This window comes from Homo sapiens, chromosome 4 (assembly GCF_000001405.40).
Source record: "Homo sapiens chromosome 4, GRCh38.p14 Primary Assembly".
Lineage (NCBI taxonomy): Eukaryota > Metazoa > Chordata > Mammalia > Primates > Hominidae > Homo > Homo sapiens.
In genome coordinates, this window is record NC_000004.12 from 159,124,038 (window position 1) to 159,140,446 (window position 16,409).

At 37.2% G+C, this 16,409-nt stretch overlaps 1 protein-coding gene and 2 non-coding genes across 4 annotated transcripts in view; 2 read left to right on the top strand and 1 right to left on the bottom strand.

The window, feature by feature from the left end:
* The window catches only part of RAPGEF2 (Rap guanine nucleotide exchange factor 2), a 257,095-nt gene that overhangs the window by 20,959 nt on the left and 219,727 nt on the right, over positions 1–16,409 (top strand). The window lies entirely within an intron of this gene.
* Positions 4,765–4,857, bottom strand: MIR3688-1 (microRNA 3688-1). The gene has a single exon (NR_037459.1). It is a non-coding gene; the product is annotated as a microRNA 3688-1 (primary transcript).
* Positions 4,768–4,854, top strand: MIR3688-2 (microRNA 3688-2). The gene has a single exon (NR_039963.1). It is a non-coding gene; the product is annotated as a microRNA 3688-2 (primary transcript).

The window sequence follows — 16,409 nt, forward strand, 5'->3', positions numbered from 1 at the left end:
TAGAGATGGCGTTTCGCCATGTTGGCCAGGCTGTTCTCAACTCCTGACCTCAGGTGATCTGCCTGCCTCCATCTCCCAAAGTGCTGGGATTACGGGCGTGAGCCACTGCACCCGGCCTTTGTTGTTGTTGTTAGATGTGCTAAGTTTTTCTTTCTCAATTGTCTGTTGGACTCTCGATGAGAACTTTCAACTGATTTCAGGGCACAATATCTAGTAAGTCGGCCAGGTGTGGTGGCTCATGCCTGTAATACCAGCACTTTGGGAGACTGAGGCGGGCGGATCACCTGAGGTCAGGAGTTCAGGACCAGCCTGGCCAACATGTGAAACCCCGTCTCTACCAAAAATACAAAAATTAGCTGAGCATGGTGGCACGCGCCTGTAGTCCCAGCTACTCGGGAAGCTGAGGCAGGAGAATTGCTTGAACCTGGGAGGCAGAGGTTGCAGTGAGCCAAGAGCACACCACTGCACTCCAGCCTGGGTGACAGAGCTAGATACCGTCTAAAAGAGAAAAAAAATTTAATAAGTCTTCTGTAATTACAAGCCTGTAATCTTTTTGCTGAAGATATATCTTTACGCAAAGAAGAATGAAGAGGAAGAGACTTATCCAGCCTAGTTTCCCTGTTATTTAAAAACAGCTAAGACAAAGCTCTTTTGTCTGTTTTGGTTATTTTTTCTTCCTAAATATAGCCAAGCAAGGACTAGGACTTGTAGTAACTCTAAGAAAGTATCTGTTGATGATCTTTACAAATATACTCTGAGGGGAAAAAAGAAATTTTATTCTACAAATACTGTTATTAACATAACTTTGCAAAACTTTTTAAAGATACTAGGTATAATAGATACTATTTATTATTGTTCATCTGTTAATGTTCATCCAGAATGGTTTTTCCAGATCATACACTTTTGCTTATGGAAGGACATATTTTTGTCTAGGTTGCCTTCAGTTTTCTAGCCTAACTTTCTTGAAACTGTCTGTAGTCTTTGCCTAGGTTTTTCTATTTTTTTTTTTTAGAAATAAAAGTTAGATGAGAGGTTTTAATACAGTTTTCTTCCTGCATTAGGCTTTTGTTATTAAGCCACACGCAAACAGCTATGAGATTTTAAAGCCCATCAGAGATACCACACCCCAATACCTGGCATATGTTAGGTGCTTTGCTCAATAAATCTGCACAATCAATGAATCAATGAATCGATTTAGTTTACAATCAAGAAATATTTACTACTGTTTTACCTTATTTAAAATGATTGTAGGTATATCAACCTTGAAATTGGAGTCAGAGATGAGACTGTTTACTCTTTATTGTTTACATTTCCTTATCTTGTGTCAAAACAGAAACTTACCAGAGTTTGTATTCCGTTTTCTTTGTAATGTGCTATGGAGTTTTTTTGAGTAGCTGCTACTTCTTGGAAACCACAAAGATAAATAATTAGCTGTTATGGGCTGGGCGCGGTGGCTCACACCTGTAATCGTAGCACTTTGAGAGGCTGGGGTGGGCGGAACATGAGGTCAGGAGATTGAGACCATCCTGGCTAACACGGTGAAACCCCATCTCTACTAAAAATACAAAAATTTAGCCGGGCATGGTGGCGAGCACCTGTAGTCCCAGCTGCTCAGGAGGCTGAGGCAGGAGAATGGCGTGAACATGGGTGGCAGAGCTTGCAGTGAGCTGAGATTGCGGCACTGCACTCCAGCCTGGGCGACAGAGTGAGAATCTGTCTCGAAAAAAAAAAAAAATAATAATTCGCTGTTATAGTCTGTGCATCTATGACAATTTTATCAATATGTGTTAAGAAAAGAGGCTGTTCCAATTGGATTTTGGTTGTTAGATGTGAAATTACTTAGTTGAGAGCATTTGCTTTCATCATGGTTCAGGAGAGACACTGACCACTCAGAATTTGGCAACAGTATCTTGCCAGTGATGTTAAGTATAACTTTGTAGAAAAATGCTAATGAAAAACTTACTACAATGTGTCTGCTATCAGAACTCAGCACTTCCCAATAGCAATGTTGCTAGTGTTTATTCTCCTTTAACTACTTGGTCAAAAATAACTGGGTGATATTTGAAAGTATAAAAATTGATTATCCTCAATTTTTATGTTTTTTATGAAAACAATATTTTTTTGGAAAGGATTGAATACTATTTAAGCCTTCCTTCAAACTTACTGTGTAGCATTTTATACATTTCTAGTTGTGATTTTTATTTTTTAAAGGACGAGAGTTAAACACAATTTTCAGGAAAACACCTATCTCCAAATTGGTTGAAACAAAATACAAAATAGCATAGGAGAGAGCAATTCTAGAAACCTTTGAAAGCCCAGTGTAAAGCAATTCATCATTCTTACCAAGCTGGGTGAAATTTTTAAAAATAAGAAAGTCTCACCAACACAACTTAAAATCTGGCTTTTTGCATATTTTTAGTTTTCTTTATATATGAAATAAGTGAAGTAATTTTGATTGTAAAATGTCATTTATTCTATCTCCTGTCCAGGTTTTAAAAAAAAAAAAAAGCCTGATGCCTCCCTGTCATCTCTCAGAAGATTTTAAGACTTTCTCAGAATTTTCTTTTTAACTTACTGGATAAACACTCCTCTTTGCTGATTGTGAAAATGACCATCTTAAAAGTGTTTACAGGAACCCACACTTATCCTTTTCCCCCTCTGCTTTTAGGCTAGGTCATAATTTCAGTTTCCCTTCATTTTTATTTTTCTCAGTTGATTATAAGATCAGAGCTACAAGAGGAAAAATGCTGTTATAGACCTGTTTATTTAGGATGGTCTTTTAGAGGAAAAAACCCGAGTCCTCATTTCTCATTGTCAAGTAGAACCCCATTCATGTGCATGGTAATTGTCAAGAATCATATTTGTAACCACAAAGAACAATAATCTCACACTATCTTCTGGGTAAACTGCTCCTACGTTTGAATTGATTTTGTAAAGAGGTAACTGTGGTTTGTGGATGAAAACATTTGTTTATTTGCATTTTTTGTTGTTGTTGTTTGTTTTCTTGAGACGGAGTTTTGCTCTTGTCGCCCAGGCTGGAGTGCAGTGGTGCTATCTTGGCTCACTACAACCTCCGCCTCCTGGGTTCAAGCGATTCTCCTGCCTCAGCCTCCTGAGTAGCTGGGATTACAGGCACACGCCACCACACCAGGGTAATTTTTGTATTGTTGGTAGAGATGGAGTTTCACCACATTGGCCAGGCTGGTTTTGAATTCCTGACCTCAGGTGATCCGCCTGCCTTGGCCTCCCAAAGTGCTGGGATTACAGGTGTGAACCACCGCACCTGGCCTATTTATTTGTGTTTTATGATACTATTTACCTTCTCACTGCCACCATTCTCAGGGCTTTATCAGTACCCCACAAAAAACACACCTTTTGATTTCCTCCCTTTTTACCTGTGGTAGTAACTCATTTAATGCCATGTTCCCCCCTTCATGAAGCATCTTCTAGTTGCTTAGTCTAGAGGTTGAATTTTTCTTTATGCTGTCACTGTTTTTAGCTTGCGTTTCTTCTGGGCATTCCTTGGCAATGCATAATTTCGTAATTATTAAGTGTACATATCTCATTTTTAAACTGCAGAATTCCTCAAAGGTTAAACTACCTTTATGACCTTTATGTCTCCATGGCGTTTTATAATACCTTAGCATTCCTTAAATATTCAAATGTATAATATGAAGTGTGTTTGACATTCTCATAGTAATAGAATAAGAATACTAATGGGGTATATAGCTCAGTTTGGTGCAGTTTTTAAAATTTAATTCATAGGCAGTTATTTTTATTATTTGAATACAACATTGTTCAGGCTTGTAAATTATTTTAAGACAGTCAAAATTGATTCTTAGAAAATTGCCTGGTTAGGTGATAGCAATTCAAATTTTACTTAGTCACCATGATTTGTGTAAGTTACAGAAGCAAGTCAGAAGCAAAGTCCTGAATTCTAGGCATGGTGTTATGAATCTCTATGCCCTGGACTGCAGTTTATTGCCTTGGATTATATTTAGGTATGTATATATATGTTTGCTTTCCTTGAATTTTGAACTCCCTGTTTTATACATGTACCTTATAACCTTTCTTTTGTTAGGAGATACTTTAAATTGTACGTTCTATTTCATCTAGTAAAATCCAAGAAGAAAAAATACTGAGACTAATAATGTCTTAACTTTTACATTACTGTCAATCTAATAGTACATTTTGGGGCCTAATTCTACTGAGGAAGACTAGCTGGAAGAGAGGGACTGATGTTGTATCCAGTTACTCTCCACGTGACCCTGGAAATTTTCATTGGATCTTAGTTTTCTCACCTGTAAAATGGAACACAATGCTTTCCATACCTATTTTCAGGGTTACGTAAGTTTAATATATGAGAAAGTACTTCGCAATGGAAAAGTCTACATGAATGTAAAGTATTACTATTGCTGACATAATAAAAATATTAGTGTCAGTAGAAATTGTGAGTCATTTATAAAGATAATAGGCTAAGATCTTCTTAATATTCTTAACATTTGGCTAGTAGTTTATTCACCCCTCTTTTTGGTGAATACAAAGCAGTAAAACCATGTTTTCAAATTATTATTTGGTTATGCAGGTTAATACTTATATGGATTATTTTAGAAGTACAGGCTTCATGTTGAGTTTTGTAAAGAGCTTTCTCTTTGCCAAAACATTTTCAGACTTCAAAGAACCATTGTGTAAAAACTCTTTTACACCAATGTATCTTAAATAGTTTTGATCATTTTATTTAAATAAAGAAGCTGAACCAAAAGTTCTTCACTTTAAAGAGTGGCAAAGTCTTTCCATATGTGTAACAGACATACATACATACATATGGAAAGACTTTGCCACTCTTGAAAGTGAAGAGTGTGTGTATATATATACATATGGGGGGTGTGTGTGTGTGTGTGTGTGTGTATATATATATATATATAAATCTATTTTAAGTATATTTTTTGGAATACATATTTGTAGAAGAAAAGATTTGTAATTGTATGATATGAATGGATGCAGTCTTTTGATTATTGAAATCTGTCATCATTCTGTATTTAAATTTGAATGCTGCTATGTGATCTTAGACATGGAGGCAGAAACTTGCATAGAAATGTAATAAGAATAAGAATCTTGAATAGAAATCTTATCGCTTTCTTTTTGAAGAATTTGAAAAGCAATTAGAATTGCTTTCATATTATAAATGCTCACCATTGAAAGGTGCAATATTAATGAATCTTTATATTATGCCTCTAGTTATCTCTTAAGAGTTACTTTGATAATATAGACCTTTTGAAAGTGCCACACTGATGGTTTCAGGTTGCCTGTCAGTGTAATAATACATAATGCTTACAGTTATGGTGTCAGTTCTTTATTTTATGTTTAGGGAGCACATATCTCAGAACAGTTCAGGAAAGACATAGAAAAGCAGTTGTCATTTATAAAGTGTGTGTTATGTGCCAGAAAGTCACCTAGATGTTTTCTTATGGTTTATTCAGTTCTAACATCAACCTTATAAAGCATGAGGTACTATTATCAATTTACCAATGAAGAAACTGAGATGCAGGGATTAAGTAATTTGCTTAAGAACAAATAACTGATTTCAAAGTCCCTATTCTATCCACTCTACTCCCCCTATAATAAGAGCAGGTGTAAATGTCTATGTTGTTGTTAATAAAGACTTTTACAAAATGAAGTTCTAATTTAGTTAGGATGTTTTTCTCTTTTTCGAGACAGTGTTACTGGAAAGGGGTCCCAATCCGGACCCTGAAAAGAGGGTTCTTGGATCTTGGGCAAGAAAGAATTTGGGGTGAGTTCATAGAATAAAGTGAAAGCAAGTTTATTAAGAAAGTATGGGAATAAAAGAACGGCTACTCCATAGAGCAGCCCTGAGGACTGGTGGCTGGCTGTTTTTATGGTTATTTCTTGATTATATACTAAACAAGGGGTGAATTATTTATGAGTTTTCCTGGAAAGGGGTGGGGATTTTCCCCAGAACTGAGGTGTTCCTCCCTATTTTAGACCATACAGGGAAACTTCCAGACATTGCCATGGCATTTGTAAACTGTCATGGCGCTAGTGGGAGTGTCTTTTAGCAATCTAATGCATTATAATTAATGAATAATGAACAGTGAGCACTACCAGAGGTCACTTTTGTTGTCATCTTGGTTTTGGTGGGTTTTGTCTGCTTCTTTACCTTGTCTTATCAGCAGGGTCTTTTTGACCTGTATCTTGTGGTGACCTCTTATCTCATCCTGTGACCAAGAATGTCTAACCTCCTGGGAATGCAGTCCAGTAGGTCTCAGCCTTATTTTACCCAGCCCCTATTTAAGATGGAGTTGGCTCTGGTTCAAATGCCTCTGACAACAGGGTCTTGCCCTGTCACCTAGGTGGAATTGCAGTGGTGTGATTATAGCTCACTGCAGTGTTAAATTCTTGAGCTCAAGTGATCCTCCCACCTCAGCCCCCCAAGTAGCTAGAACTACAGGCATGCACATTTTTCTTTATTCAAATTTCTCTGCTAGGTCATTTTTATTTTAGAGATGAATTTCGGATCTAAAGTCTAATTTTATTAAAATTAAAAATTTTTAAACAATTAGAGTTAGTAGAGTAGGACTGGAAGGGCTTCTTTTAATTTAGACCCAGGCTTAGCGAATAAATTACTCTAAATAAAAGTTATCTATTATTGTTTTATTTTATTTTATTTTTTGGGACAGGATGTTGCTCTGTTGCCTAGGCTGGAGTGCAGTGGCACAATCTCGGCTCACTGCACCCTCCGCCTCTCAGGCTCAGGTGTCCTCCCACCACAGCCTCCCAAGTAGCTGGGACCATAGGCGGGCACCACCACGTCTGGCTAATTTTTGTATTTTTTGTAGAGACGGGGTTTCACCATGTTGCCCAGGCTGGTCTCAAGCTTTCGGGCTCAAGCAATCTGCCCAAAGTGCTGGGATTACAGGCGCAGCCACACCCAGCCAGCTATTATTATTTTAACTTTACCTTTTTAAATAGCATGTTTTACTCTCCAGGTTTATTTGAAAATAATACAGAGTTTCGCGTGTTGTTTTGTGTGTGTGTGTGTGAGAGAGAGAGAGAGAGAGAGAGAGAGAGAGAGACAGAATTTCGCCCTTGTTGCCCAGGCTGAAGTGCAATGGCACGATCTCGGCTCACCGCAACCTCCGCCTCCTAGGTTCAAGCGATTCTGCTGCCTCATCTTCCTGAATAGCTGGGATTACAGGCATATGCCACCACACCCAGCTAATTGTGTATTTTTAGTAGAGACAGGGTTTCTCCATGTTGGTCAGGCTGGTCTCGAACTCCCAACCTCAGGTGATCCGCCTATCTTGGCCTCCCAAAGTGCTGGGATTACAGGCATGAGCCACCGCGCCCAGCCTCGCATGGTTTTAATAACGTTTAAGATTGATTGATTGCTGATTTTGTCAGCAGATACTATGTTAAAGACTTAAATGTATTATCTTGATATCTTTGTCTGATTAATTGCTATTTTTTTTTTTTTTTTTTTTTTTTTTTAGCTTTTGCTGTTGTTGTTTTTGTTCAGTCAGCTATACTATTTGGAGTTTTTACTAGTTGAAGAGAAATATAAGTGCTAAGTGCAGTTAAAGTTCTTTGGGCTTTGGGAACCTTGGGCTAGAGAACTTTGGGCTTGATTAACGTCTTTCGCGTTGTTGTGTACTTGGGAAAGTTATCGGGTTTTCTCAGCAGTCCTACAGCCCGGCATCTCCTTGTTTGTCAGAAACAAAGACTTGGCATACTCGATATTTCCATTCCTTAAGAAGTTTTAACATAGAATTACTTTGTTAATACTTAGCCTTTCTTTGTAGGGCCATAGGTGGGAACTTTGGTTCTCTATGCTAACTGAAAAAGCCAGAGGAAATGTGTGGGAAGTTACAGTCTCCTTACCAAGAGGATCCAGATTCAAATCTGGATACTTGCAACAAAAGTCCAGATTTTAATGGGTATATTGTTTGAAACTATCAAGTTGGAGAGTAAAATATTCCCGGTGTTTTTGCTTATCTAACTGTTGCCATTAGGATAATGTCTTAGCTTGAGGGTGAACTTTGTTATTGGACCACACTATTTAGAGAGGGGCTAGTTGGTCTAGAATTTATCAAGAATTGAGAAACATTTATTCAGATATATTCATAAGCCTGTGTCTTGCACAGAAGTACGTTATCTTCAGGTTATCTAGCTCTAACACCATTTTATGATCGTACTTCACAGTCTCAACTGCAGAATGAAAGAGTTACTTTGCTAGATTTTGGAATGTGGGCTCTCAAGGAGACTTAAGTTCTTCCGAAATTCTAAAATAATCCATCCAGATCCTATGGTTGTGATGGGTGTGTGTATCTGTGTTTAAATGATGTTTTTGAGTCCTTTGGTTGTAGAGGACAGTGTCTCCTTGTGTCTGTGGCAAGGAGTCTTGTTTGTTTCTCTTTGGTCCTTACAAGACATAGAAAGGGCTGTCTCTCCTTTAGGGATAGATGAGCACCGTACTCCAGGACAGAAAGAGGTAGATGGTTTTTAAAGGCGTGGCAAGTTGTTGGCTTTTTAAAATCTGACTTTTCTCATTTATGCCTCCTTTTTCTAAATTATAGCTTTTTCTTCCAAACCATTCTTTGTTGTCTATTTCTCACACTCCTTATTTTCTTCATTTTTGTGGGTGGTGGGTCAGAAAGAAAGGTTAAATACAGTCTTTTACGTTGATTGCTCATTTTCTTTTGGTAGTTGAAAGTTATGTGCGTTTTAAGTGTATATGATAATGTTTTTTCTTTCTGGAATGTTTTTAGTGTTCTAGAAATGTTTATAACTTGTACCTAAATTAATATTTTAAATATTATATACTTAGTTTTTTTTTTTTTGCATAGTTCACATGTCAAAAAGTATAAAAAGTTATACAGTGCAGTCTTACTTTCCTCTCCCACACCTGCCTAACTCCCAGTTCCCTTCTGGTAGTGAGTGATTTTCATTGCTTGTTTATTCTTCCCAAAAATTAAAAAAATTCATACACAGATCCATAAAAACATATTTTTCTTCTTCTCAAGTTATATCTACATACATATCTGCCCTTTTATTTATTTAATGTAAAGTATAGTTTGGAAAGATGTATACTGATCTTTCCATATCAGTACATGAAGAGCTCCTGTGTGTGTGATTAACCATTACAGAATATCACAGGGCTGCAATGAATACCCCTCACATACCTGACCTGCAAAATTTCTGCTGGGCCAAAGTGTGCTTGCATTTCTAATTTTGCTTGTTGTTGTAGAAGTGGCTTACAGGACTACTAGCATTGTATTAGTGCATTTCTTTTCCTTTATTTTTAAAATATAAACTTGTAATATATATGGTAAGATTAACCTTTTTAAGTGTAAAGTTGTATGAATTTTTTTTTTTTTTCAGAGTTTTGCTCTTGTTCCCAGGCTGGAGTGTAGTGGTGCGATCTCAGCTCACTGCACCCTCCACCTCCCAGGTTCAAGCAGTTCTCCTGCCTCAGCCTCCCGAGTAGCTGGGATTACGGGCGCCTGCCACCACGCGTGGCTACTTTTTTGTATATTATTTATTTATTTTTCGGAGTCTGGCTCTGTCACCCATGCTGGAGTGCAGTGGCATGATCTCGGCTCACTGCAAGCTCCACCTCCCGGGTTCATGCCATTCTCCTGCCTCAGCCTCCCGAGTAGCTGGGACTACAGGTGCCTGCCACCACGCCCAGCTAATTTTTTGTATTTTTAGTAGAGACGGGGTTTCACCGTGTTAGCCAGGATGGTCTCGATCTCCTGACCTTGTGATCCGCCCGCCTCGGCCTCCCAAAGTCCTGGGATTACAGGCGTGAGCCACCGCGCCTGGCCAATTTTTTGTATTTTTAATAGTGATGGGGTTTCACCATGTTGGCCAGGCTGGTCTTGAACTCCTGACCTCAAGTGATCCACCCGCCTGGACCTCCCAAAGTGCCAGGATTACAGGTGTGAGCCACCACGCCTGGCAATTCTGTGAGTTTTAATTTGTATACAGTCATGTCACCACTGCAACTGCAATCAAAATTAAGACATTTTCATTGCCCAGAAAAGGTCCCTTGTGCCTTTGTGCCTTTTTGTAGGCAGTCCTCTCCGTCTAGCCTGTCTCTGGCAACCAGTGATCTGATTTCTATCCTTATAGTTTTGCCTTTTTAAGAATGTCTTGTACTGTACATGGAGTCATATAGTGTACAGTCTTTTTTGCATGACTTTTTTCACTAAGCACAAGCTTTTGAGATTCAGCCATAGTGTTGTATGTATCAATGGTTTGCTTCTTTTTATTGCTGAATAGTATTTCATTGTATGGATGTACTGAAATTTGTTTATTCTTTCTCCAAGTGATGAATATTTAGGTTGCCTCTAGTTTTTGGCAGTGATGAATGAAGCTGCTATAAATGTTCACATATTAATATGGACACATGTTTTCCCCTTCTTGATAGATACTTAAATGTGAGATTGTTAGGATATATGATAAGTGTATGTTTAACTTTTTGAAAAACTAACAAACTCCTTCCCAAAGCAGCTATATTGTATTTTATTTCTGCCAGCAATGTACAAAAGTTTCAGTTCTGCATCCTCGTCAGCACTTACACGTGTCAGTTTTATTTTGTAAGTCATCTTATGGGCATGTGATGGTATTTAATTCTGTAATTTAGAAACAACTTTATTGAGATATAATTCACATACCATACAATTCACCCATTTAAAGTATATAATCAGTGGTTTTTAGTAAATTCCTAGATATATGCAGCCATCACCAGAGTCAACTTTAGGACATTTTATCAACCTCAAAAAGAAAATTCCTGTACCCTCATCCTCTATCCCTTCTGTCCTAAGCAACTACCAGTTTACTGTCTGTCTATGTGTTTTCCTATTCTGGACATTTCATGTAAATAGTTTATATGTGGTCTTTGGGACTGGCTTCTTTCATTTAGCATAATGTTTTCAAGATTCATCCATGTTGTAGCATGTATCAGCAGTTCATTTCTTTAATTTTTTTTCCTTTTGTTTTTGAGACAGGAGTCTCACTCCGTTGCCCAGGCTGGAGTGCAGTGGTGTGATTATGGCTCACTGCAGCCTTGATCTTCCAGGCTCAAGTGATTCTCCTGTTTCAGCCTCCTGAGTAGCTGGTACTATAGGTGTGTGCCACCATGCCCAGCTAATTTTTATATTTTTTTTGTAGAGATGGTGTTTCACCATGTTGCCCAAGCTCGTCTCGAACTTCTGGGCTCAAGCAGTCCGCCCACCTCAGCCTCCCAAAGTGCTGGGATTACAGGCGTAAGTCATTGCGCCTGGCCCAGTTCATTTCTTTTTATGGCCAAGTAATATTCCATTATATAGATAATACTATGTTTTGTGTATTCATTCATCAGTTGATGAACATTTGGATTGTTTCTACCTTTTGGCTCTTATGAATGATGCTGTTATAAACATTCATGTACAAGATTGCATTTCCTTTAATCATTAACAGTGAAAACCTTTCATATATTTACTTACTATCCATATATCTTTGGTGAAGATCTTTTCAAATATTTTGTCCCCATTTTAATTTCTTTCTTTTCTTTTTTTGAGACGGAGTTTTGCTCTTTTCACCCAGGCTAGAGTGCAATGGCATGATCTCGGCTCACTGCAACCTCTGCCTCCCGGGTTCAAGCGATTTTCCAGCCTCAGCCTCCTGAGTAGCTGGGATTACAGGTGCCCACCACTATGCCTGGCCAATTTTTGTATTTTTAGAGAGATGGGGTTTCACCATGTTGGCTAGGCTGATCTCAAACTCTCGACCTCAGGTAATCTGCCCGCCTCGGCCTCCCAAAGTGCTGGGATTACAGGCGTGAGCCACTGTGCCTGGCCTTAATTCCTTGTTTTGAAATAAATTTAGATTTACAGAAAAATTGCCAAAATAGTACAGAGAGTTTCCATATGTATACCTGACACTCAGATTCTCCTGCTGTTAATAATTTAAGTACATTTGTCAAAAGTAAGACATTAATATTGAATCAATACCATTAACTGCAGATTTTATTTGGATTTTGCCAGATTTTCCACTAATGTTTTCTTTTTCTCCAGGATCCAGTCCAGGTGTACGATATTGCATTTAGCATTTTAAAAAATATGGTTGTTTTTCCTTGAGTTGTGAGAGTTTCATTATATGTTATGGATACAAGTTACTTTATTAAACGCCACTTTTTCACTTGGCACAGTTCTCCAAATTAATTGTATTAGTAGCAGAGTCATTATTCGTATTAGATTTGGGTGTGAAAGAAAGAGGACTTAAGGATGACTTGAAAGTTTCTGGATGGCTGGGGATGTTAATTATTGGAGAAAAGGACTTCAGGAAGACCAGGTTTGATTAAGAGGGTGAACAGTGGGTGTTGCTGGTGGTGGTAGTGATTAGGAGTTTAGCTTTAGAACAAGGAGAGTTTGGGATGCTTATTTGTAATACAAAGAGGAGATGTCCAGTAAGTACTGTAGTTTGGACTTCACTGGGTAGGGATTTCAGGCTACTATGCTTTTTAACTCATATTTGACATCTATGTATAGGTAAATGTCTTTATTTTCTCTAAACAATGTGAATGCCTAGCACACTGCTTGACATGCTAGAAGTGTTTAATGTTGAATATGTTGAATTGAATTGAAATGTAAATTTCAGTTCTGTTTTCTATAATTATATATTTTACTCTAATAATAGTTTCTGGTGTTTGAAGTATACATTATTTTCTTTCAACTGAACTTGAATATAATATAATTTTATGAAGTCATGAGAAAGTTTGGTAACCTTCCTTAAGGAATAATTTTTGGAAATGTATAGACATTAAAAAAATAGAGCCTGCACCTGAACTGGCTACTGTTCCCTGAAGCCTGTATTCCTGACCACTGTGAAAAGTGCCATCCTTGATCCTAGGCTTCCTGTCCTTAATGGCCATTGGTTGCTAGTGCTAAAACTGTGTAAGAAGGTAAATTTATAATCATCATAGGTTATTTGTAAACAGAAAAGGTGGGGGGGTTGGTAGTAACTGTATTTTGGCTCTGTTCAGTGGGCCTATAAATTCATTTGATTACATTTAAAGTTCTTTTGAAACTTACCTTGGTTTAAGAAGTTTACTGTATTAGTCCATTTGGGCTGCCATAACCAAATACCATAGACAGGGTGGCTTAAACAACATAAATTTATTTTCTCACAGTCCTGGAGGCCAGAAGTCCAAGATTAAGGTTCTGGCCTGTATCATTTTCTGGTGAAGGCCTACTCCTGGCCTGCAGACTGCTTTCCTGCTGTGTCCTCACACAGCCTTTCCTCAGCTCATAGGAGGGGAAATGTAGGAGGAGCAGAGGGAGAGGGAGAGCAGGTGCTCTGTGTCTCTCCTCTTGTATAAGAACACCAGTCCAACTGGACCAGGGCCCCTCCCTTATGATCTCATCCAACCTTGATTACCTCCCAGAGGCCTCCATCTCCAAGTACTATCACATGAGATTAGGGCTTCAGTATATGAATTTTAGGGGAATACAGTTTAATCCATAACATGTAACCATAGTAGCATCTTTAATACTGGGGTTATTTTGCACTTCTTTTGTATGTGAGAGAGAATAAAGAACACACCTTTTTAGGTATTTATACCTGAGGTATCATTCTAGGAAATGAGAATGAGTTTGTGAAAAATAAATGCAAAAAAAAAAAAAAAAACCTGCAAAGATTTAAACTTACTGGGAAGGGAGGTTAAATTTCTGAAATGCTTACATGGTAGAGTGTTTTAAAAATTAAAAATACATGCAACTAATTACCTATAAGCACAAAGAGTAACTGTAATTCTTTAAAAACATTTCTTTATCCTGTTTGAATTGATTTAATGAGTTAAAAAATTAGTGATTTGTAATTAGCTTTCAACTAATGTGCTAGCTAGGGTTTTTAAATTCTTTTCTTGAGTGGGAGAAATGTGTCCACATAAGATTTTATTGCATTATTAATTTTCATGGTATAATTGACTTTCGCACAGACTGAATTACTAATTAGTATAATGTTAATGAATATGGTTTAATTTTACCACATCATGTGGCCTGAGACACAAGCTTTCTCTAAGAAAGTATTGGGATGAGAGGTATCTCCATAGAGATTTTACATTGGTACCAGTTTTATACCACCCCTACGTTGCTGAAAGGAGCTCTGATTTGAAATGGATGGAGACACACAAACACACACACATATGCATATAAGATGGGTATCTATACCTAAAACATCTAAAAGCACTGATATAGACTATTTTTCCTTTTTGATAGAAAGTAGAAAAGTATAAAGCTCATATTTTAGTGTTTCCAAGTTATCCAGCTAAAGTTACTAATACTGATGCATTTGGTTTGGTAATAGTTTTCACTGCCACATTGAATAAAGCCTTATCTCTTTCAGCTTTTGAAATTTAAGCAGGTGTAGGGAGAGGTAAGAGTAATTTCAGACCTTAGGATGTAGGCCAAATTTTAAGAGAATTCTACTGTGTTCATATCTCTTTGGCTTGAGTAAATAGATGGTACTAAATAAGTGAAATGATCTCTTGTGGTAGGTTAATTGACTCATTTGGGAAGTACAAAGATCCATGTGAAAGAATATGATTTCTACATTGGGGAATGTTTTTTAAAAAAATGATGTAGACAAGATAATTTTGAAATTATATATTGAGTTTGGGTGATTGAAAGAATTAGGAAATGTGTAATAATCTTAAAGCATATTTTTGTCTACTTGTTTACCTCACTGGAGCATAAAACTCTTCTCTGACACCATTTGAACCAAAAATTACAGAGCAAGGATACCAATCATGTACTCCTAAATTATAGTTTATAGGCACTGAAAGGATACCCAACTTAACTACCACGTGAAGGAAATTTCTGGGGACAGTAACGAATTGAAATAGGTAAAGCAGAAGGATGATGTAAATTTTCCATGAAATAGAGTCTCAGGCAACTTGGTGCATCTGACTAGGTAACATTTTCAGTGAATGGGTGAATATGGCATAAGTCATAATGGTGTAAAGCTCTAGGAAGGGCACATTTGCACACTTGAGGCCCTTGGTCACATGCCAGATATTTTTGAGCACACCTACCGTGTGTGTATGGCACTGTGTTGCCAAGTACTTTGGGATGCAGAGATTGGTAAGGCATAGTGCAGGGAACTCACAGTCCAGTGAAAGCAGTACCCATAGGTGAAGAATTCATACAATAGCATGGAAGTGCAATGAGGAAGCAGTGTGGAAAAGGGTGAAAGAAACTTGGTATGCACGAGTCAAATGACAGACTCCATTAAGTGTTTCCATTAAAAGGATTGTTGCTTCCCCAGTAGCCTCTTCTATACAGTTTCTTCAATCTCATTTCAGATCATATTTCTGTAATAATTAAGGCTTTGAGAAGGACATCCTATATAATGTAAGACACACATTTAAAGCATAGAATGAAAAAATGAAAACCTTAGGCATTTTGAGCAATATTTCCTTTACCTGTCATATATACAGCATGTTCTGAAATACATGGAGTGTGATACTGGTGAAATTAAAAAAAAAAATGTAGCACTTTAAATTTTTTTCCTTAAAGGTTGTTTTGGTAATTTTAAATCCTGAAATATAATTATTACGGGGATATTAAGCTCAAAATTATTCTAAAGTTATCTTTTGTTAAATGTGGTTTGTTAAGAGATTTCCCATTGTTCAGTGTTAGTAAGTGGACAGTGAACAAAGAGGACAGATTTTTGTCAAGCATAAACAACTTTTGCATCCTGTTTATTAAATGGAAAATACCTCAATGAATGTCTGTGCTAAAAGTAGATTCCTTCAGGTTTTTAGTTTTGTCCTATTAGGGGTGGAGTCATGGAACAGGAAGAAAGACATCCAGTAAACAGGAATTGTGTGCTAAGAGATACATTTTGAAAGGGAAATGGAGGCTCATGCTTAGAATTTGAGTTATACCATTTCACCATTATGAGTACCTTTTCAAGAATGTTAGATTTAATGGAGTGCTAAATGGTCTTTTTCATTACTGCTATGAGTGATAAATTGTCTTGACCAAGATAGCATGTTGCAGAATAAAGTTTTGAAAGTTGACAGAGGTATTTTCTCAGATTCATTCATTATCATGTTTAGCTTGATGTTCTCAACGTTTTATACTATTAGGAGATAATTTTCCATTTTGGGTAGAAATAGTTTTAGTGTAGTTAAATATGGTTAGTATAGATTCAGTAATTTAGTATAGCCATTTGTTTTTACATTTACATATATTTATTCAAGAAAGTTTGAAAATGGGAGGTATAATATTAAAAAATTACTCTTCCCCTCCTGGGAATCAAGCAAATAAACAGCAAATGAACCTGAACTTACCTTTCTCTTTTAAAAGCAATTGTTATTGGAAGGTATATATTAATTCCAATGA